The sequence below is a fragment of the Homo sapiens genome, chromosome 9 (assembly GCF_000001405.40).
Source record: "Homo sapiens chromosome 9, GRCh38.p14 Primary Assembly".
Classification (NCBI taxonomy): Eukaryota; Metazoa; Chordata; class Mammalia; order Primates; family Hominidae; genus Homo; species Homo sapiens.
This window is the reverse complement of record NC_000009.12, coordinates 23482224-23504231: the sequence shown is the minus strand read 5'-3', so window position 1 is coordinate 23504231 and position 22008 is coordinate 23482224. Positions and strand designations below refer to the sequence as shown.

Here is a 22008-nt window from a genome sequence, read left to right as displayed (position 1 = left end):
AAATTTTGTCTTACATTAAAAAACAAATATTTCTAGCTTTACATAAACTTGTTCAGAAAAAGGAGTTGGAAATGCTACTAAACTTTATAAAGCGAACATAACCTTGATGTCATACTCTAATATCTTTCATAAACATAGGTGCAGAAATCTTGACAAAATATTAGGAATTGAATTTAAAAATGTATAATTGGATAGTACATCACGACAAAGTGGGATTTATTTTACAAATGAATGCAATATTATTTCATTATTCGAAAATCAAAGTAGTATGCCACAGAAAAAGTTAAAATAAAAATGCAGAAAAAGATAAAATTCAATAGTTATTTTTAAAAACCTCTCAGCAAAGTAGAAATAGTAGGGAGCTTCCTTAGTCTGATGAAATGTACAGCTAAAATATTTAATGTTGAAGTACTGCTGGTTTTCCCCATGATATTGGGAACACGGCAAGGAAGCCTGTTCCTACTGCTTCTATTCAATGTTGTGCTGAAGGTCATGGCTAGCATAAGGCAAATCAACCACACAATCAGAAAAATGGCAATATGAATGTGTACATAGAAATTCTATGGGATCTACACAAAATAACCCTACAACCAACACATTAATTTAGCAAGACCACCAAATACAGGGTCCACATACAAACATCAAGTGCCTTTCTATGTAACAGAAGCACATAATTTGCTAATCATATTGAAAAAAAATTAAAGACATTAAAAATTAGAAATAAAATAAGATGTGCAAAAACTCACAGAAAATTTAAAAATCTTGCTGGATAAAATTAAAGATCTTCATAAGTGAAGAAATATACCATATTCAAGATTAATTATGTTAAAATGTCAGTTTTCCCCAAATGTGTCTCCAGATTTTCAGTGTAATCTCAAAATTCCAAGAGGCTGTTTCTCCTTGACAAGCAGATTCTGAAATTATTTGTTAATGCAGAGGACCAGGAATAGTCAAAATAATCTTGAAGAGAAAAGACAAAGAATATACACTACCTGATTTCAAAATATATTGTGAAGTTACAGTATTCAAGATAGTTTGATATTGACCTAATGCTAGATCTATTATGATCAAAGGAACAGAATAGAGTGCCCAGAAGTAGATCAATACTTACATATAGTGATATGGTTTGGCTCTGTGTCTCCACCCAAATCTCATGTTTAATTCTAATCCCCAATGTTTGGGGAGGGACCTGGTGGGAGGTGATTGGATCAGGTGACTGGATTTCCCCTTTGCTCTTCTTGTGATAGTGAGTACTGATGAGCTCTGGTTGTTTGAAAATGTGTAGCCCTTCCCCTTTGCTCTCTCTATCTCCTGCTGGCCAGTGATGACGTGCTTGCTTCCCCTTTGCCTTCTGCCATGATTGTAAGTTTCCTAAGGCCTCCCCAGCCATGCCTCCTGTACAGCCTGTTGAAATTGAATCAATTAAACCTCTTTTCTTTATAAACGACCCAGTCTCAGGTAGTTCCTTATAGCAATGTGAGAATGGACTAATACATATAGTCAAGCGATTTTTGACAAAAAAGCCAATGCCATTCAATGGGAGAAAATAAATTATTTTCAAGAAATGAAGCTGGAACACTGGTATTCACAGTGAGAAAAACAAAACAAAACAAATCAAAACAACTCAGTCTATGTATCACTCATCATTTAAAAATAATTTCAAGATGGGTCATGAATCTGATACAAAAGCTAAAAGTGTGTAGTTTCTAGAATAATCTGGTAAGAGAATATCTTCATAATCCTGAGGCTGGTACAGTGTTCTTGGAGAACAATGACCTTAAAAGAAAAAACACAATAATCTGTTATTCAAAATTAAAACCTTCAGCTCACTGAAAGTGTCTGTTAAGAAAATGGATAGGCAAACATAAAAGAAAATATTCATCATACATACATATATAACAAAGGACTTGTATGCAAAGTATATAAGGAATACCTTCAATTCAATAATAAAAAGACATCTCAATAATAAATAGGCAAATCAGACACTTCAAAAGGAAGATATAGAAATAACCGATAAGCACTTGAAATGTTGCACAATCTTATTAGTCATCAGAGAAATACAAATTAATATAAAAATAAGATATCCACTTCTAGAATGGCTTAAATTTAAAAAGTCTGACAGCACTAAATGTTGGCCAGGATGTAAAGCAACTAGAATTTTTATATATAGCTGGTAAGAGTACAAAATGGTATAAACAATTTGAAAACTGCTAGTTTCTTATAAATTAAAGCATAAGAATAACTTAAAACCAAATAATTTCATTCCTACATATTTACCCAAGATAAAGGAAAACATATCCCCAAAAAGAGATTTTTTTATACAAATATTCGCAGCAGCTCTATTAATAATAGCCCCAAATGGAAACAATCCAAATGACCATCATTAAGAGAATGGATACATTGCATTTTTTTTTCCTGGGCAGAGTTTTGAGTATCTTCAAAGGGGGCTTTGTCATTGTGAGAGTGAGTACTGAGAATGGTTTTGAGAGGAGATTACTTATCATGTTTCAGTACTCCTTGCTCTTCTTTCTTATGAAGTATTTTTAGTTCAGGGATTTGTGGGTCACTGATGGGATGGGTGCCTGAACATTTACACTTCTGTTTGGTTGTACTCCAGCTGGGGGAATTTGGACTGAGGTCCGCTATTTTGAGTGCTCAGGGATGATAATGAGAAAGGAGAAGAAAACCATCACATAGTACCATATGTCAGGACCTTTAGGAAATGGTCATCACATTTATTTATTTTCTATAATATAGTTATTTTAAAAAATTTTCTAGTTGGTGAATTATTTTAGGGTAGATTGTCTCACTCATCTTTTATTCTTTTCTCCCTGAAGTTTACCATGGAATAAAGTTGGTGTTCAGTGAATAGATGCTGAAAAAAGTAAAATTTGCCTCTAGAGATGTCATCACTACTTCCTGTGAGATACAAAGTTTTGTTACTAAAGAGAACAATAACAAAAATAAACAACAGTAACAAAGTGGATTTGAAAAGAAACTTTCCTCTCAAGAAAAAAAGGAAAAAAGACAGGCTTAGTGTAAAAATGGAAAGACCCTTGACTAAAACTGACATTTAAAGACCAGATTGGAGGGATAAGAAAGCAAAAGAGGAAAATCAGATACTCAAGCTTTCTGAACTCAGAAAGGAAAAAAGCAGAGGAGACAGATCAAAGAATCAAAACTCCATTAAGGGCAACAACTGGAAAGTAAAGGGATGAGGGTGTCCCTGCAAGATACAGAAGCATTTTGATTTAGCTGTAGAAACAGAGGAAGGTCACACAAAAACAGAGGGGAGGCTACATGAAAACTACCCTCTGTTACTCAGGAGAGAAGCTAGGATTGACATTCAGTTTTTTTCTCACTCTCCATTCAGAGAACTGCTCTCTAGATTATTCACCTCTTGATATTTACCCATAAACTTGATAACCAGATTAGAATAATGCCTGCTCATGAAGGATTCGTGCTATGACAACTCAGCCACCTTGCGTTTTCTAGCTACTGTCATGTACCTTTATACCCCTTAAACCTGACCTTGAAACCACTTCTGTTCTGTGTGTTTCATTCAAAAGACGTCGTAAATTCTGGTATCCTCTACTTCTAACTAAAGGGATTAGTTGGAGCTGTGTTTTTTGAGTGTACAAGAATGAATATGGGTAAAGAAAGTAAAAATAATGATTACTTTAAGGAACAGAGGGTATGGTTATCTTCTTCAAATATTATTTGGCAGTAGTATTGAAGTCCTCAAAGTCAATACTGTGGCCTGAGAAGCAATTTTCTTATATTCTAGGGTTGCCTTCTACAAAATCAAAGTAGATTAGTATTTATTTTTAAATACAAGTATTCAAAAAATTAATATTTGAGAATGAAGGACGGTCCATTGACAGAAAATGCTTTCAGTATGAAGTTGTCATGGGTTGTATATGAAACATTCAAATACCTCAGCAAAAGCAAAAGTCAGTTGTCTCTGGAAAAGTCATTGAGAGCTTGTCTTCTTAGTAAACAAAATTTTGTGTAAAGGAAATATGGGAAAAAAATAGAAGTAGTGGTTTTATGCTTTGGGAGTTTAGATGGTTATTAGTTACCTATTTGCTGCTGCAACAAATTACCATAAATATAATAGCTTAAGACACCACAAATTTACAGTTGTAAAGGTCAGAAGTCTAACATGGGTCTCATGGGGCTAAAACTGAGGTGTCAGTTGGGCTGTATTCCTTTCTCTTGAAAGGAATACAGCCCAACTTCTCAGGCCACAGCATTAGGGGAGAACCCATTCTTTTGCCTTTTCTGTCATGTACAGGCTGCCCACACTCCTTGGCTCATGGTATACTTCCTCCGTCGTCAAAGCTAGCAATAGTTTATCTAGTCCTTCTTACATCTCATCACTCTGACTTCCTCTCTGTCTCCTTCTACTTTTGAGGACCCTTGTGATTATAATGGGGCTACCTAGATAATCTCCCTATTTTAAGACCAGTTGATTAGCCAGCTTAATTCCATTTGAAACCTTAATTCTCCTTACTATGTAACATAATGTAGTCACAAATCAAGGGATTAGTTTGAGGACCTCTTTCAGGGACTATTATTCTGCCTACCACAGCTAGCCTTTGGTTTCTGCCTCCAATGCAGCATGATGAATTATATGATGGTAGTGCCTACTAAACTTGGGCAGTCCCAGTTACATTTGCTTAAAAAATACAGACTCCAACCCATATGCAGAATTGTTCCTGGCACATAGTGGAAAACATTGGAGGCTAACAAAAATATAGAAAATGTTTGGGAGTTGCCTCTCTTTAGTGTTTTACATATCAAAACTAAATTATGAAAACTTGATTATCCCCCCCAAAAGACTTCTAATAAATTATTTTATAATTATCTGCATCGTTAGTTCAAGTCAGGGCCAATGTTTTAGTTCATTTTGTGTTGCTGTAACAGAATACCTGAGGCTGGGTTATTTATAAAGAAATGAGGTTTATTTAGCTCATGGTTCTATAGGCCAGGAAGTTCAAGAAGCCTGGTGCTTGTATCTGCTTAGTTTCCAGTGAGGGCCTCATGCTGTTTCCACTCATGGCTGAAAGCCGAAGGAAAGCAGGTATGTGCAAAACGATCACATGGAAATGGAGGAAGCAAGAGAGAGAGAAACCCAGGAATTCAGACTCTTTTTAACAACCCACTCTGGTAAGAACTAATTTATTCACTCACAGGAGGGCATTAACCTATTCATGAGTGTTCCGCTCCCGGAACCCAAACACCCCACTAGGTCCCACCTCCCAAAACCTCCACATAAGGAATCAAATTTCAACATGCGTTTTGGTAGGGATAAACCATATCCAAACGATAGCAGCCAGGTTAGCTTTTGTTACATACTCCATGTCACACTTCAATGACATTTTGGTTGCTACTGAATGTCATGTAATGCTTTGCTGCATTTTAACCACATTCTTTATTTCTGTAGGTAGATGAATGTAACAGAGTTTTAAAAAATGCTGTCTTGGCCAGGCGCGGTGACTCACGCCTGTAATCCCAGCACTCTGGGAGGCCGAGGCGGGTGGATCACGAGGTCAGGAGATTGAGACCATCCTGGGTAACAAGGTGAAACCCCGTCTCTACTAAAAATACAAAAAATCAGCCGGGCATGGTGGCGGGTGCCTGTAGTCCCAGCTACTCGGGAGGCTGAGGCAGGAGAATGGGTGTGAACCCGGGAGGTGGAGCTTGCAGTGAACTGAAATCGTGCCACTGTACTCCAGCCTGGGCGACAGAGCAATACTCCGTCTAAAAAAAAAAAAAAATGCTGTATTGATCCAGTTCTGAGGCCCTGGCTAGATGTGGATCAATTTCCCGTTTTCAGTTGCTGATTAAGTCTATACTCCGATCACTTCTCTTATCAGGCTCTTTCACTCTGGGACCACTATTACCCAGGGGTGGACAACTAGCCCTCATGCCTTGGAGCCCACAGAATTATTCAAATTAGCTAATCTGCAGCGAGTCCAGGACACCTAGCTAGCTCAATCCCATTTGCCATACACAGGCTGCTCCCTCCAGCTCCAGCTTGCTGCTACCCTCTTCCTGGATGCCACCCCCTGTGTGACCCTGGCTGGCAGCCCTTTTTTACTTGGAGCTGGAGTTCTGCCTTTTATCTGTCTGAGTATCAGTGTGTTCTTTTCCACCACCAAAAGATCTTTACATCTGAAAAAAAAGTGAGCCCTTTCAAATACCCACCTATTCTTCCATGCCACAAATATTTATTGTGTATTTTCTGTGCCAGGCCACAGAGATGATTATTGTGGTCCATGTACCTGAAAGCTATTCAAGACGCAGATTTCTTTCCTACCTGGGCTCTAGCTGTTTCCTCTCTCACTCCAGTTTTTTATCATATGCTGCTGAAATGAATAGCTCTGCATTACTTTTGCACAAGCCAACCCATGTAGCTGGAAATCTGTGAATATCGACCATGGGAAGGAGACATTCCATTTGAGTTTATATGGATTTAATATGCCATAATACTGATTGGATACATTGTACTTTTAAAAACAGTATTGACCCTTAATGATACCAACTAGTTACCAACGATTTTCTTGGAGATGGCTTTGATACATAAGCTACTAAGGCAAAGAACAAAACAGCAAACCTATTGTAGTTAACATTGTAGACCAGCTGTGTAATAAAAGAAATTCAAGACACGTTTTAACAAATGCTGCCGTCTGTAAAAAAGGGTATTTTTCTATCAGAGGCAGCAGGTATAGCATTCGTTTGAATGACCAGGTTCTTCTCTTGCTTTTATAGGCAGCCACAACCCATTTTAGGATGGAGAGAGACACGTTGCAAGCTCATTTGAAACACATCTCTGGCAGACAGGGAACTGTATGATTTGCACTAGAAGTTCTCTGTTGTTAGAAGGGGATAAAACCGCTTTGACTTCAGGAGTATTGGAGGTGTTAGGAGCTGCCTGGCATTTTGACTGTGTTTTTGGAGACGAATATGTATGTGTGACTGCCTAGGGATAAACCACACACAGCAGAACCTGAAATGTATAACATTGGGTGATATATTGCCCCTTACCATCAGTCAGATCATATGCAATGTAAACAAAGTGAAGTAATTTGCTACTTTCCTGGGTTCCATTATGTATATGTGTTTATTTAATCAGAACTAAATGATATTACATGAAGTTCCCCTTGCCCTCCTGAGGAATCCAGATTCAACACTTTCAGCAGTGTTCAGTGCTGGAGAGCGAAGAAAGTGTAACCATAGTGATGGAATGGAAATGATTTTCTTTGTTCAGAGGCTTCAATATCCAACAGACATTACAGTTTTCAAGGTCAAAAATATATTAGGATGAGATAAAAATTAAAGAAAAATGTGCTGGCTTAGCTACAAAAGCTAATTTAGTTTATGCATTATAAATTATGTTAAAATGACTAAAATGAGATTTCTCAGCAAGAACTAAATGTGTGGTTTCACAAAACTAATTTCCAAAGATGAACATGATTACAGAATTTAGCTTTAAAAGCCTTTCAGGCCATCAGAGAAAACAGCAAAGCTATCAATTATCAGACTTTAGTGGTGCCTCTGTCAGAAATATAATGGTATTTTTAGCATTCTGCTCAGCCTTTACTAAATTAAGAATGTCTACAAACAAATCAATTAATTGGGACATTATTTAATTAAGTAAAACATGTGATCTGCCAAAGAACCTTAAGCAGACGATTATAACAAACATCCCAGTAGCCTTCCTTTTCTATTGAGGGAAATAGCACACCATGCAATAAAACGAAGATGGAAGCTATGGAAAATGAAATGTTGATCAAACAAACACAGCCTCCTGCTTTTCTGATTCATGCTGCATATTTTTGTAATTTTAAAAAGTGCTTGTTTTGAAAATCTGTGATTTCCTGGAAGAAGGTCAATGTTACCTGTCAATCATTTCATCCTGTTAGGTGGGTATGTGGCATTTGTTTTCTTATAACAATGCACATATAAACATAAACAATCTGTATTCTATGTGTGGTACATTTAAGCCTCTGGACACTAGGAAGTTACTGGGTTCCTGATATATATTTTTTTCGTATTACTGGAAAGCTAAACAGTTCAGGTTTAGTGAAGATTTATTTTGGACCTACTATAAGCCAGGCACTTTCAAACAAACCATTTCATTCAACATTTAACAGTCCTGTGAGATAAGTATCATGTCCCCAGTTTTGTAAATAGGGGACTAAGGTTCAAGGAAGCTTTGCACGTTCCCTGTATTCACACATCTGGTAAATTGCAGAGCTAGGATTTAAACCCACGACGTATGACATATCCAGAACCCTTTCCATTATTACATAAAAGTATCGTTTTCTCCAGGAAAGCCACTATGGACTAGCCTGCATGTAAGTGGGGCTGCACAGATGAAACAGCTATACTGTTGGCCAACGGAATTTTTGGAAATACATTGTCTGAAAAGAGGGTTAGCAATAATTTGGTTACGGGGGAGCAGAGACTCTCATCATACTTGGACAAGTCAATGCATCCAATTGCCTATTCTTTTTAGGCATCATGGGAAAGTGAAGACTGCCTTTTCACCTACAAACAACCCACAATAGAGTTCCATCCTTATCTGAAATAACTGCAAGTAATGGATCAAGAGTACGTTAAGTGAAATGTAATGGAGAACAAGTGCAGTGGTGCTGGAAGTCGGTATATTCAATAGCAATGTTGTGACCTGTTAGAAACTTTAAAATTTAATTTTTCCATTTTGTTAATGAAGATTATCTTTCCACATATATCAGAATGGTGAACTTGTATACTGGGGAACAACTCATTAGCTATGTAAAACATCCTTAAAATCATTTTCAGAAATCATTTGATGTGAACAATTATTATTGGTTCTACCCAGGTGACTCTCATCATTCAGGCCAAGTAAATCTTCTAGTCCTCTTTTTAATTTGTTTCCTTTTCTCCTTTCAGATGCAGGTGCATCCCTGATATGAGTATGCATTTGGGCTTTCTTATCCCACTGGGCTTATTTTTCTGAAAATTACTCAAATAAGACATGGTATAAGTCTGCAAGACATTGACAGCTGATTATCTGAGAATGGTATAAACATCACAAAAACACCAAATCCCTTCACATTCTTGTCTCACAAAAAAAATTAATTTTTTGAGTCAAAGTTTTGTTACTTGTTATTCTTCACATTTTTATTACTAAGTGATAGGTTAAACTTTTAATGAATGCCATGTGGGAAAACTGTAATGTTTCTAGTCAATTCTAAAAATAAAAGAACTCACTCTGTTCATCATCAAACTGGAGAGAAACGTCTTCTTGCTCAACCTGTACCTGATGACTGATGTGTGATGCGGGATATACTGGCTGGAACTATAGGGAAGGACACAGATGGACTCTACGTTTTGCCTGGGGTTGACAGCATGTGAGCAAAATGCTTTACTATATTTAGAGTAATTTTGTATGCAATGGGGAAAAACAATCCCTTAAATATCAGTGTGGAATTCAACAGCAAAATATGTCTAGACATGTGAAACCTTCCACGCTGAAAGAAGTTATTGAAAAATGATTCATTTTTACATCCTCCACCTGCTGCCTGATTCTTTGTGATATTGATTTGTGAGAGAAAGGACTTTTTCCAAATGATAGTACTGAGATGTGTTGCTAATAAGATACATAGTTTTTAACACTCAGCCTTTATTGAGCATCAGCCATGTGCTAGATGCCGTTTAGAAAAATTGCAGTAACTGTATTTATCTTAATAATTCAAATTTTGTAAAGATTTTCTTTTGTCATTCATATTCATGAGTTTAGAATCAACTAAATATGGATGACATTTGATCTTTTTTTAGAGCAGAAAATTATGACTTTGGAAATACGCTTTTTAAAGTAAGGATATATATTCATTATAATACAATTTAATTTTTAAAATCTCACTAATATGTGTACTTTAGAGATGGTGTTTTAGACATTTTTCTGTATTAGTTGCTGTTTTACCTGTAATTAACAGAATACCTTAAAATTCCTTAGACAAATAGAAGTTTGTTTTTCTCATGCAGCAAGGAGTCTGGATATAGGTAGTTATTCAATGAGGTAAGAAGCAGCATCTCTGCAGCTTTTTTTCTTTTTTTTTACTTTTTCCTAATGGTCACAAGATGATTGTTGCTGCTCTAAGCATCATTTTCATAGTCAGGCAGGATGTAGAGGGGAGGTGGAATGTTAGAGATGTATGTTCCTTCTTTCAAAAAGCAGAGTTTTCCATATCCATCAACAAACTTCCACTTACAAATCATTGACCAGAACTCAAGACGGCTGGCCTTCCCTAGCTTCAAGAGAATCTGAAACAGTGAGTATTTAGGTGTTTGAAAATGAGTCTTAGGCTAGCTATTCAACAGTGCCTGACACTTCTTGCAACGAAATGTGTATTTTAATGACTAAGATTGATACTGTGACTATGTGAAATCACCTATAGGTTGAAGCTTTGTTAGAAAAGGAAATGAATTTAAATTAAAATTATCTGTGTTTAAATCTCAAATCTTAGTTTCTATGTTGTGATCCTAAGCAGGTCACTTGCATAAGCTTCAGTTCTCTAATTTCTAAATGAGTATAACAATTTATACATTGTTGCAATAAGGATTAAATAATATCAGGAGGTGTCTTGCAGTATCAAGTATAGATCTGAATACTAAATAGAATTTCACTAAATTGTTCAGTTATTCACTCCTTCATTCATACATTTAGTTGATCAATAGAAACTTTACTCGGGAGAGGAATTAAAAAGAGGTCACCACTGGGAGGTTTGCATCCATGACGTCAAATGTGCAATACTTGCTAATGTCAGGATGAGAGTGTGTGTGTGTGCGTGTGTGTGTGTGTGTGTTGACTCTAGCCTCCAGACGGCAATGTGGAAGGGAACAGGGGGAGGAAATCAATGTTTGTTGACCACCTCCTGAATGCTTCTCTTAATCTTGCGTCCTTTTTACCTGATGAAGCAGTCATATCTTTCTTCTATGTTAAGCCAGGCTATGAAGCTAAAACCAGAATTGCTTTGACCTCTCATATTTCTAAATTTCACATATGTATAGTTTTTCCATCTCATTCCCTTTTTAATTCCTTGAGAACCCATCATATGTCCCTGGGAGCTGGGCAGAAAGATCATTAAATACTGTTCAGGGTGGCACACAAAATCTCTTCTTCCTTTCAACCTTCAACTAATATTCCACAAATGGGTGCAACCTGTCTTTCCCCTCAGACTGTGTTTCTTTCCCTATGTGGAACTCCTCCATCCAGTTCCATCCTGAGACAAAGGATAGCTATTACTGTTTACTCATTTGGAGTCTGAACCTCAGGGACAGTTGTCCACCTCTTCAAATATTGTGTCTTCTCTGAGGTTCATTGTGTCATCTTTGCTGCCCTTCTGGTGCATCCAGGTGTGGCCAAAATTTGCTATAGATATATTCTTCAGGCCCTTGATCTGGGAACTTTGCCACATACGGATTATGTAATACTGAGTCACATGCATTGTTTTCCAAATAAGAACATAAATATATCTTCTGAACAAGGAAACTTTTGAAAAAATTTTTCCGTTGTTCTTCCTTCTATCCATCTAATCCTCACTCTTTTCCTCCGTCCTTGTCTGTGTCTGCTTCTTACTCTTTCTCTTTCTCATATCTGGGTAATCTGCAGCCTTTACATGATAACTGCATCATTTAGAAGGAGGACACTCAGAGAGATGGATAGTAATATGTGTGTAACATACTTATGTGTTAGAGATTGAGAATTTGGCACTCCCGAAAGATTGCACATGGAATCAAATCAGTCATTAGGTGGTTGCCACAGTTGGCTGGGTTCAGGCTCTGTAAATCGATGGAAATAGGCTAAAGGAAGATGAGTGAGGCTAAGTACTAATTCCAGGCTTTCCTCTAGAGGGAGCTGATGATCAGGCTAGAGGAAACCAACATTGAGACTGGTCAGACTAGTGAGGAAGCTTTACATGTAGGCAGTATCACAAGACTGGATGGGGGTGAGCTATTAATCCTGAGCCTGTGAACTTAAAAGCCATCAGAAACTCTTACTATAATATCAGAGAAACAACTACTACCTACCTCATCTTAATAGTATATATTCCATGGTATAGAAAATGCTCTAGTGCTAACATTCTGATTTCAGCCCTGGAGACTAATTCAAATATTTTATGAAATTTCAACCATCTATTTATCTATCTGATTCCTATTAAAATTTAATATTTGCTGAGTTCATATTATGTGTCTAATGCTGTGTCAGATATTAGGGTGCAGAATTTAAATGTCATTGTTTCTAACTTCAAGGAACTTACATTCTAATGGTGAAAATAAATACAGAAGCAGCTGGTTCCAATCTGGTGCAAAAGTGGTGCTAATCTGAAGATTTATATAACAGATAAAGTATATAGGGGATTAGCATGAGGTATTGAAATACATATATTTTCAAACTACCTATAGCTATCTCAGGAAATTAGGGGACAAGCAGACAAGGCAAGAAAGAGGGGCATCATGAAAACCCTATAATCAGGGGTCCCCCCTCACCTGCAATCTAAACTCTGCCTGACATGCAAACCTCATCAAGCCACCATTGATTCTTAACTCCGACTGTTGGTTCCCAGAACATGCCATGTTATTTTACACATTCATTCCACTGTGTATGCTGTTTCCCCCACTTGACATGCTGTCTTCTTTCATTCTGCCCTCTTTTGTCCACCCGGGAAGGTTTAACTTCTTCAAGCATGAGTTTGAGTAATTCCTTTGTGAAAATGTTCCTATTTCTCTCTCTCATCCTTCCTTTATTCCTTATCACTATCCTTCATCCCACCATTTGCCTACCTCAATAATAAATAGCACCTGCACACTATTCAGTAGTTTTCTTCAAAAAGTATGACCCTTCACTGGCACTCTAGTTCCAGCCCTCCAGTGGCTTACTCTTTGGATATGATCTGAACACTTTGCCATAACCCATAAGAAATACACTGCATGGCCTCTGACCAGTCTCTGTCATTACCTTTTTATACTTTCTTGGTCACTCCTTTGGTCTAACAACACTCTCCTTTCTGTTTCCTCAAACACACCCAAATTTCTTTGCTCTTTAGAATGTGTTTCCCTAGGATTTTAGATTGCTTGTCTCCTCCTTTATTTGTCATTGGGTGTCAGCTCAGTTATCACCTATTTAGAGATGTCTTCTCATCCTGTCTGAAGTGGTAACTCCATCCACATTTGCCAACACATCACACTTTCTTATACTCCTCATGATACTTGTATATATCCAAAATTATCTTGTTCATTTATGTGTTTACTGTCTGTGTCTAACTCTTGATTAACAAGTAAACTCCATGATATAGGGGCTTTGACAGTCTTATTCACTGCTGTATTTTCAGGGTCTATAATCATGTCTGGTAAATAACAGGTGTTTAATAAATATTTCTTGAATTAATAAAACAAATTAATAGGCCTTTTTTTGGTTGGTGGGTTGGTTGGCTGGCTTTTTTTGGTTTGTTTTTGTTTTTTTGTTTGTTTTTGTTTGTTTGTTTGTTTGTTTTTTGAGACAGAGGTCTCACTCTGTCACCCAGGCTGGAGTGCAATGGCCCAATCTCGGCTCACTGCAACTTCCGCCTCCTGGCTTCTAGCAATTCTCCTTCCTCAGCCTCCTGAGTAGCTGGGATCACAGGCACACGCCACCACGCCAGGCTTATTTCTGTATTTTTAGTAGAGACGGGGTTTCACCATGTTGGCCAGGCTGGTCTCCAACTCCTGACCTCGTGATCCGCCGACCTTGCCCTCCCAAAGTGCTTGGATTTCAGGCTTGAGCCACTACGCCCATCCAAGAATGCATGCTTCTTAAGAGATGGGATCATCAGTTTTAATCTATGTATTCTACCATACTTGGTACAGTCCCTGATGACACATAGTAGATGCCCAATGAATATTTATGGAAAGAATGACGGGGGAGCCACAGCGTTTTTGCTGATAACTCCAGGGCTGGAGCTCAGGTGCTAATACTGCAGTTCTTTTTGGAATGTGAGCTAGTTGCTGAGCTAGGATAGTTTCAGAGTGATTGCTGCTCCAATTGGAGCACGATCACTGACCTGAGACTGCAACCATGTTGCCTCAGTTGACAAATTAGGCTTGCTTGCCCCAAGCACAAGAGCAGGCTTTGCAAACTCAAAGGATGGCCACCACACAGCCCTTTAATTTCCCACACTCATAGTTTCTATGGTGATTATGGTATTGACAGAAAACTGTAGAAGTCTCTAAAAGCCAAGCTGTAAATATTTTATATACATTATCTTGAGAAATAGTACTTGGAATTTTGAAGTGGACGACCTAAATCGATCATGGCAAAATTTAAATGGGTAGTGGCAAAATGCTTAAATATCTGCCTAAGGTCGTTCACTTAGTCTGGTGTCCTATAAAAGCAATTAGTTAATATTACCATTACCAGTTGGTATGTGCAGTTCTTCCTTTTAAAAAGTAAATTGATTCTACTATGTAATACATTTTAACCTTCTAAGGAGTTTGGCTGTGACTACATGGAAATTTTAAGATGCAATTGTTTGAGCAAAAAGTTATAATATTTGGTACATGTAGAAGTTTGAAAGAGGAAATATATTATTTATCATATTCAGGCCAGTCAATGTCCAAACCGAGTGTTCATGCTTCTTAGTAATATTAGGAAAAATTCCTGCCTTCATGTACGTATAAGTTACTCTGGCCAAAGTTCAGAGGAAAACAAAAATTATCCCGGGGCTCAGATTCCTTAAAAAACTTCAGCTACAAAGGTAAATTTTTTTGATAAAATTATTAACAATAAAAATACCTTCTCAAAATAGATTTTCTCCAAAAGATTCTCTATGTTTGGATTTGTTTTTTAACAGGAATCATATAATCTATGTGCCAAGTGGTGCTGAAGAGCCTTAATTTAATTGTATTGGCATGAGATGATTGAGTTCATTGGTGATGGAAGAAAGAGTGATTTAGCATCAGATTTCCTGACAGAGGAAGCTTCCCTGTTTAGTTTTCGTTTCTACAAAGAATGAGGGGAAAGTGTCTGGTAAGGAGGTCACATTCTTTCTAAAAGACAGCCAGGATCCAAAACCCTCACTTGAAAAGGAAGTAGTGAAAGTTATTTCAAATTAATCACACATTGGGATATATAAGGACCCTGGAGATATTTTGAAATACTTTATGAATCTGAATGAACCAATTTATATGGATTCTAATTTATCCAAAATATTGTTTTGAGTCATTTGAAGGTAAGAATACCAAATCTTCGCCCTCAAGAAATTTATAATCTGTTGATGCAGACAGGATATTTCCACATAAAGTGTAGTAACCTGCTCAATGAATGGGTTAGTCCTGAAAAGAGAAATCCAGAAAGAATGGCTGACATTCCTAGGTCTCATGCTGAGCAAAAATTCAAGAATCAGTCAATACAACTTGCCTTTCCTTGAACTTTTCATACATATTGCCAGTTGGAATAGAAATATTGGAAGTAAGGAACATGTATTTCAACTTTTTGAATAATTTGAAATATCTAATATTTCAATGTAAATATTTTTTAAGTTAATGTAACTGATTGTTTCCTACAAGAAAATGGAATACTATACAGCCACCCCAAAAAATGAGGGATTATGTCTTCTGCAGGAACGTGGATGGAGCTGGAGGCCACTATCCTTAGCAGGAACAGAAAACCAAATACTTCATGTTCTCACTTATAAGTCAGAGCAAAAAGATGAGAACACATGGATACACAAAGGAGAACTACAGACACTGGGGCCTACTGGAGGGTGAGAGGATGGAGAGGATCAGGAAAAAATGACTAAGGGGTACTAGCCTTAATACGTGGGTGATAAAATAATCTGTACAACAAACCCCCATAACACGAGTATACCTATATAAGAAACCAGCACATATTTCTTAAAATAAAAGTTAAAACTGAACTTAAAAGTTGAAAAAAGAAAATTTTATATTATGAAAATAATGATGTTTAAAAAAATATTCTAAAAAGCACCCCTGCCCCCAACTACCTATGTATTCCAATGGCTTCCAGTGCTTCTATGATAACACATCAGGAGAGTGTATCTCCCTCATTTGAACATAAGCTTCACAGAGAGTTGTCTTGTTCAAATAGAGTATTTGATGTATAGGTGATGAATTAGTGTTCATTAAGTTGAGAAACAAACCAATTTATCCTCAACTGCGAAGAACTTGGCTTATACTTTTTGGTAGCTCTAAACAGGTTGGCTTCTTGCTGATTTTTTGAACATGCCAATTTCTTTCCTGCCTCAGGCTTTTACAAACAGCTTCTCTTTTCTAGAAAAACTCTCCTTGTTCTCCTTCACTAGGCTTGTCTTCCAGCACCACTATAACCTCAGAGTGGACTTCTCTGATCACTCTATCTGAAGTAGGTCCTCCCTGCTGCTAGCTTAGCTCCTTGTTTTTTTTTTTTTTTCCCCCATCACAGCAACTAATGTTTTACTATTATTTATGTCCCCTGCCCCACTGTATTGTAATCCTCATAATGACAGGCATATTTCTTATTGTCCATGATTGCAACTCTAGTGACTAGCACAGTGTGAGGTAGAGACAAGTCAATAACAAACAAAATAAATAATGCTCATGTGTAGGACAGACTTATCAGTAACATTTACTCTCATGCTGGAGTATCTATATAAATATGGTAGCTGGAAATTTATACATAATATTCTGTGCACAGACTATAGCTCTATGTCCTATATTTTATACTGATTTAGCAACATGAGACACCTTGGTAGAAAACCACTTGGATGTAGTGTATGGTTTATGAGGGAACAGAGAAGAGATCATAGTTCTTTAGGACAGCAGATACCATTTGGGAAGCTGAAGCACATGGGAAGCTCTGGAAAAACGCCAATGCCGATGACTTCTCATAGCTTAATATTTTGTTTTTTTGGTCATTTGAATTCTTTGCAAATTACCTTTCTCTTAACTATTTATTGATATGAGAATGTTAATATCTCTTAAATTAGATTAATTCCTCTGAAAATTCTACTTGCCAGATATTAGTTTTTCTATGTATGCAAGATTGTTGTATAAAAAAAAATTGTGTTCCATTAGACTCTCTGGGTTTATCTATATGAAGGAAACACCAAAGGAGCATCACTGCCCAAGAGAGTTGAGTGGCTTTGTTTCCAGTGGTCATATCAGGGATATCATCCTGTTATACTGAGGATGCTGATACTAATGATGATTGTATAATAAAATGTAGATAATGACATAACCGGCATTTCTCCAAATGGCACCAGCTTGGGTACACCAGGCTTATGATAACAGCAACAAACCTTCTGATTCAATGCCCTTTTGCAGTATCTCTGCAGCCTCAGCCTAAGCCTCTTCATGGTGGTCCTCAGGGTATCACTGGGAATTCTCATTTGCTCTTGATTGTCCATGACAACCCCCTGCTTCAACCACTGAGTGGAAGCCATCCTTTCCCCTGCCAACCCAAGCAGTGGTTACTTGTGGTCATCTGTCTTGACATCACCCACCTCAGAATTTGCAATGTGAGCCCTTTCTTCTCCAGAATCCCCTGTGCCTGTGTGCCATCGTGGGAACTGCCCTACCAACTCTGACATGTTAGAGAAATGCAGCCCTGAATTGTGCTCCCAGGTTCTTAAGATGAATGTAGTCATTTTAGGTTTCCAATTTCATCCTTAGAGCCCTGACACAGATTTCCTTTGAGGCTGGTCTGAAATAGATCTTTGTCATTTGAAATATAGGTCATGGGTCATTAGTGTACATATTGTCTGATTATTAGATACTATATTATTTCTATACTACTTATTAGAAATGCAAACTCTCAGGCTCTGCCCCAGACCTACTGAATCAGAATTTGTATTTTCATGAGATTCTCAGGTGATGTGTAGCACACTGAAGTCTGAGGAGCACTGAGAAAGGATTAGATCAACTTTCCCTAGTTTACCTCTAATGATTGCCACCTAATTGCTTGCTCATCACCACTCTCTTGCCTCAATGGTTGGGGGTAATTGAGTTTCTTAGTGTCTTATAGGTCTTAGTTCTCTGGACTGCTGTAAGGCCTCCTGTGGTGTCTGCTTCATAGGCTTTCCAGCTGCACAAAAACCTGCTTGAATATGCAGTAGATCTTTCACAAACCCTTGCATTGGAGCCCTGTTGACATAAACTATATTAGAAAAGAGAAATCATAGTAACACCACTAATAGTACATGTCTTAAATCTCCATTATGCTTTTCTCTGTTCAAAGGACTTTAGTTTGCAGTAGTCATTTTTCCCTAAACAACCCAGTGAAGGGGGTGTAATTGGTATTGTTATACCTCTTTTGCAGATGAAGGAGTGAGGCTTATGGAGATGAATCTAGTTCCCAGACAACATCATTGGCACACCTTTGAATCCAGTTCTCATTTCACTCTACAAACCAAATGAAGTAAAAATGAACATAGACAAGTGAGAATGCAATTATGACAAACCATGGCCACTGTTTTGAAGATATTTTAAGTCATCAGGAGAGGTTTAATGCATTCTTTATAGACCCAAGAACATGTCTTCATGTTTAGCCTTTTATTAAATAGAAAAAATTAACTCAGGAAAATATTTCAAATGAGATATGCTGCCAGAAAACAGCCGAAAGCAATATTGCCAACATTTTGACAGGCTTACTTGGGTGAAAGCAGTCACTATATACTTTTATTATCTTTGAAAATGTTAAAGGAATGCCAACTTTGTGTTTGCATCTCTTCAATTTATAAACCCTAATGAATTTTTGTTCAAATGATATAGGTTTGGAATGAAATGTTTTATACCAGCTTTGGAATAAATCCTCAGGTACATTTCTAAGATTGCTGTACTCTTTGGTGATGAGGCAAACTGTTGATCAGAAAGCAAGGCGTTATTTTACATTTTTACCTGGAAAAAAACACGAGATAAATTGTTTTTATTTTAAAAATTTTACACTGGTTTGCACTTTCTCAAGGAGAAATTGATTTGGCACCTTTAGAAATGATTAAGCATTTTCTTTTTCATTTTCTGCAGAACACTTTGGTTGCTTTTGGTCTGAAATGTAATAAACCTTTTTCCATCTGTAGGAAGGGGTGCCTGGTTGCCCAGGGGCACCCAGAGATTCTCTCAGCTATGAAAAAATAGGAGCCAAAGTTAAGCTGAGCACTGGCACAGCCATCAGATGTTTCCTACTGAGCTCTCTCTCGGCTCTGGATACTCCAGTGTAACTATCTACAGTGATTTTATTCTCAGGCCAGGTCTAACTGCCTGCATCACCAATAAATCTGCATTCTTTTTTACATTTCCGGTTGCTTCAGCTTTTATTTGGGTCCTTTCCCCTGGCTCCCTCAGTAGCATTCCTATTTTGGTCCTCAGACTTTCCAAAGTCAGCGAAACTTATCTTTTTATTTATTTATTTTGTTAACCACTCATTTACTTTCCCATCTCTTCTTACGTCTCCCTTTTCTGCTCCTCTTTCTCCTCTGCCTCCTCCCCCTATTTTCTTCTTTATAGTAATCCTTTAACTCTCCTTTCAATTTTTTCTGTGATCAACTTTTCTATTTAAATGAAAACCAGTATGTTCTTATGAAGTCATAGAGGTTGTCATGATATTAAGAATCTGAGACAACTGGGCATGGTGGCTCATGCCTAAAATTCCACAACTTTGGGAGACCTAGGTAGGAGAATCGCTTGAGCCCAAGAGTTCCAGACTAGCTTGGGCAACATATAAATCCTTGGCTGATAGATGCAATGAAAGGTAGAGTGAGACCTTGGCTCTACAGGAAAAAAAAAAAAATGCTGGGTGTGGTGGCGCACCTGTGGTCCCAGTTACTTGTGAGGCTGAGTTGGGAGGATCACTTAAGCTCAAGAGGTTGAAGCTGCAGTGAGCACTGTGATCACACCACAGCACTGCAGCCTGGGTGGCAGAGTGAGACCCTGTCTCAAAAAAAAAAAAAAAAAAAGGAACCTAAAACAATCACTGTAGAAATTTATCAGTTATATCAGAAACATGGCCTAGTTATTTCGATGACATCCCAAGCCTGAATACTATCTGTCTGAAACCTGTGTATTTAACCTGCAGCAGCCTGTGTGTTTAACTTCTGGATCAGCATAGCATCCAATGATAGAGCGGTACAGTTGTCTCAGGTGTGTTTGTAGTAAAATTCTGTACCTTTTCATCTTGTTGCTACACTTGCTTGACATTTTTTTTTTAGCTGAAGTTGTGCATTTACCTAAATTTTATAACTTTTTTGTATCTTTTGACTTTGTTCTTATCATGTTGGCTTGGTTAATAAATATTGTTTCTGTGACTTTTGGTACTTTGACACTTACCCTTTGGTTCTCTATGTACATAACGCAAATAAGTCTTACCCCTTGTGACCCAACCCTAGGGTTGCTTGATGGGGTGGGTTTCCATGTGTCCTTTCAATCCCAACCTTCAAAAACTGCTTAGTTGACAGATCCAAGGCTTCAACTTCTGTTTAACAATTAAATAGAGCCAATAATCCATGTTATAAATCCTTGACTGATGGATGCAATGAAAGGTGGAGTTGCCCCAGGTATAATAAATCTGACTTTCTTACAAATTCACCTCTTTCTCATCTTTAAATATTTATTTAAATTTATTGAAATTTATATACATGAAGAAGGTAACAAGCAGCTATAGCTTACTTTCTGCAATAAGTGTATTCCTGAAAGTGTTTTGTATAATTAGAAGGCATGTACATGAATTCCTATTAAAACCTCTTACAGGATCTTACACTTAAACCTCAGAATAAAAGTTTTACAAAGTAATAAATGAAAGGTCATTGTGTTCTGTATCAGTTAGGGTAAGTTGATTTATGCTACAGTAATGAATAACTCCCTAGTTGTAACAAAAGTGTACTTATACCTCATACTATATGCCCAGAGTGGGTTGGTAGGGAAGCTCCAGAAAGTTGATGGAAGCTCCATCTTTACACATGCTTCTCGGATCACCTCAACAGGGAGAAGGGAGAACTCAGGAATATTCTGCACCATTAAGAATTAGAATTAAGCGTTAATTAGAAATTAAGTACTTAATTAAGAATTAGAATTCAGTAATTAAGGAGCATCTTACACCATTAAGAATTAAGTGTTCTGGAAATGATGGTCCAATGGTCAGAACTACTATTCCCCGACACAACAAAGAAAGGGCTAAGAAGTTCAGTTTTTTTACATGGGTAGAAGGAAAAAAGAACAGATATTAGTGAGTAGCACCAATGCTGATTACAATGTGCCCTTGTGGCTACCAACTATTTGTTCCTCTCTGCTTTCTCTAGGTAAGACACACTCCCTCTCCTGTTTCCTCGAAGGAGACAATCTCAAACACCTTCCAATCATAGCATCAAGCACACAGTCCAGGATCCTTGGTAAGCTAATATCTAGGGATGATGTGAAATATTTGCATCAGATCCAGCTATGGCCCCTGATGACCCAGAGACCTGTAACTAAAAAAGGCAAGTTACTAACCTCCCTACCCACCCATCTACCTAGCCAATATGCAGTGGCGAAATCAGGCCAAGATCATCTCAGTAAATACTCTTGTTTAGAAAGTGTACAAATTGAAGGTGTACTACAATCACTGCAATGGGTCATTGCAACTCTCAGGTCTTACTGGGCAAATGCTTCAAGGACTCTTCTCCTGAGATGGCCCTGGAGTAGAAGGGTCTCCTTAGCTCCTAGAATCTATGGTCCTTGTCTCTGTCCTCTGGGAGAGTCTTCCTTTCCATGATCCTCTTTGACTACATTTGAAGTGGGTGTCAGGGAATATACCTCCCTTAGGGAACAGGCAGCCTCCTTAGCCTACATCCTATCCAATGATGGTTGAAGCCTCAGTGTTATTTTAAGTCCTGAACTGTCACATTCTCTTTTAGTTCAAGCTGATTCTTTTGGCAATATAATTCTCTCAAAAACTTCCCTGAATTTTTCTCTTTGATTTCAGTCAGCTTCATGTACCAAAACTCGTGACAG

At 37.5% G+C, this 22008-nt stretch overlaps 2 long non-coding RNA genes across 2 annotated transcripts in view, besides 1 other annotated feature; both read left to right on the top strand.

Moving 5' to 3' along the window:
• The window catches only part of LOC101929563 (uncharacterized), a 171709-nt gene extending 168168 nt beyond the window's left edge, over window positions 1-3541 (top strand). The window contains exon 28 of the long non-coding RNA NR_121602.1: window positions 2838-3541. This is a non-coding gene — a long non-coding RNA (uncharacterized LOC101929563). The remainder of the gene's footprint in view (window positions 1-2837) is intronic.
• Window positions 6836-7945: an enhancer, noted in NCBI's record as "VISTA enhancer hs309". NCBI's record gives its function as "enhancer in: cranial nerve[5/9]" and the evidence as "EXISTENCE:transgenic organism evidence [ECO:0001131][PMID:17130149]".
• Window positions 19698-21492, top strand: LOC105369298 (uncharacterized). Its single transcript, XR_929517.2, has 3 exons — window positions 19698-19774; window positions 20099-20163; window positions 21318-21492. It is a non-coding gene; the product is annotated as an uncharacterized LOC105369298 (long non-coding RNA).
• The last annotated feature ends 516 nt before the right edge of the window (window positions 21493-22008 follow it).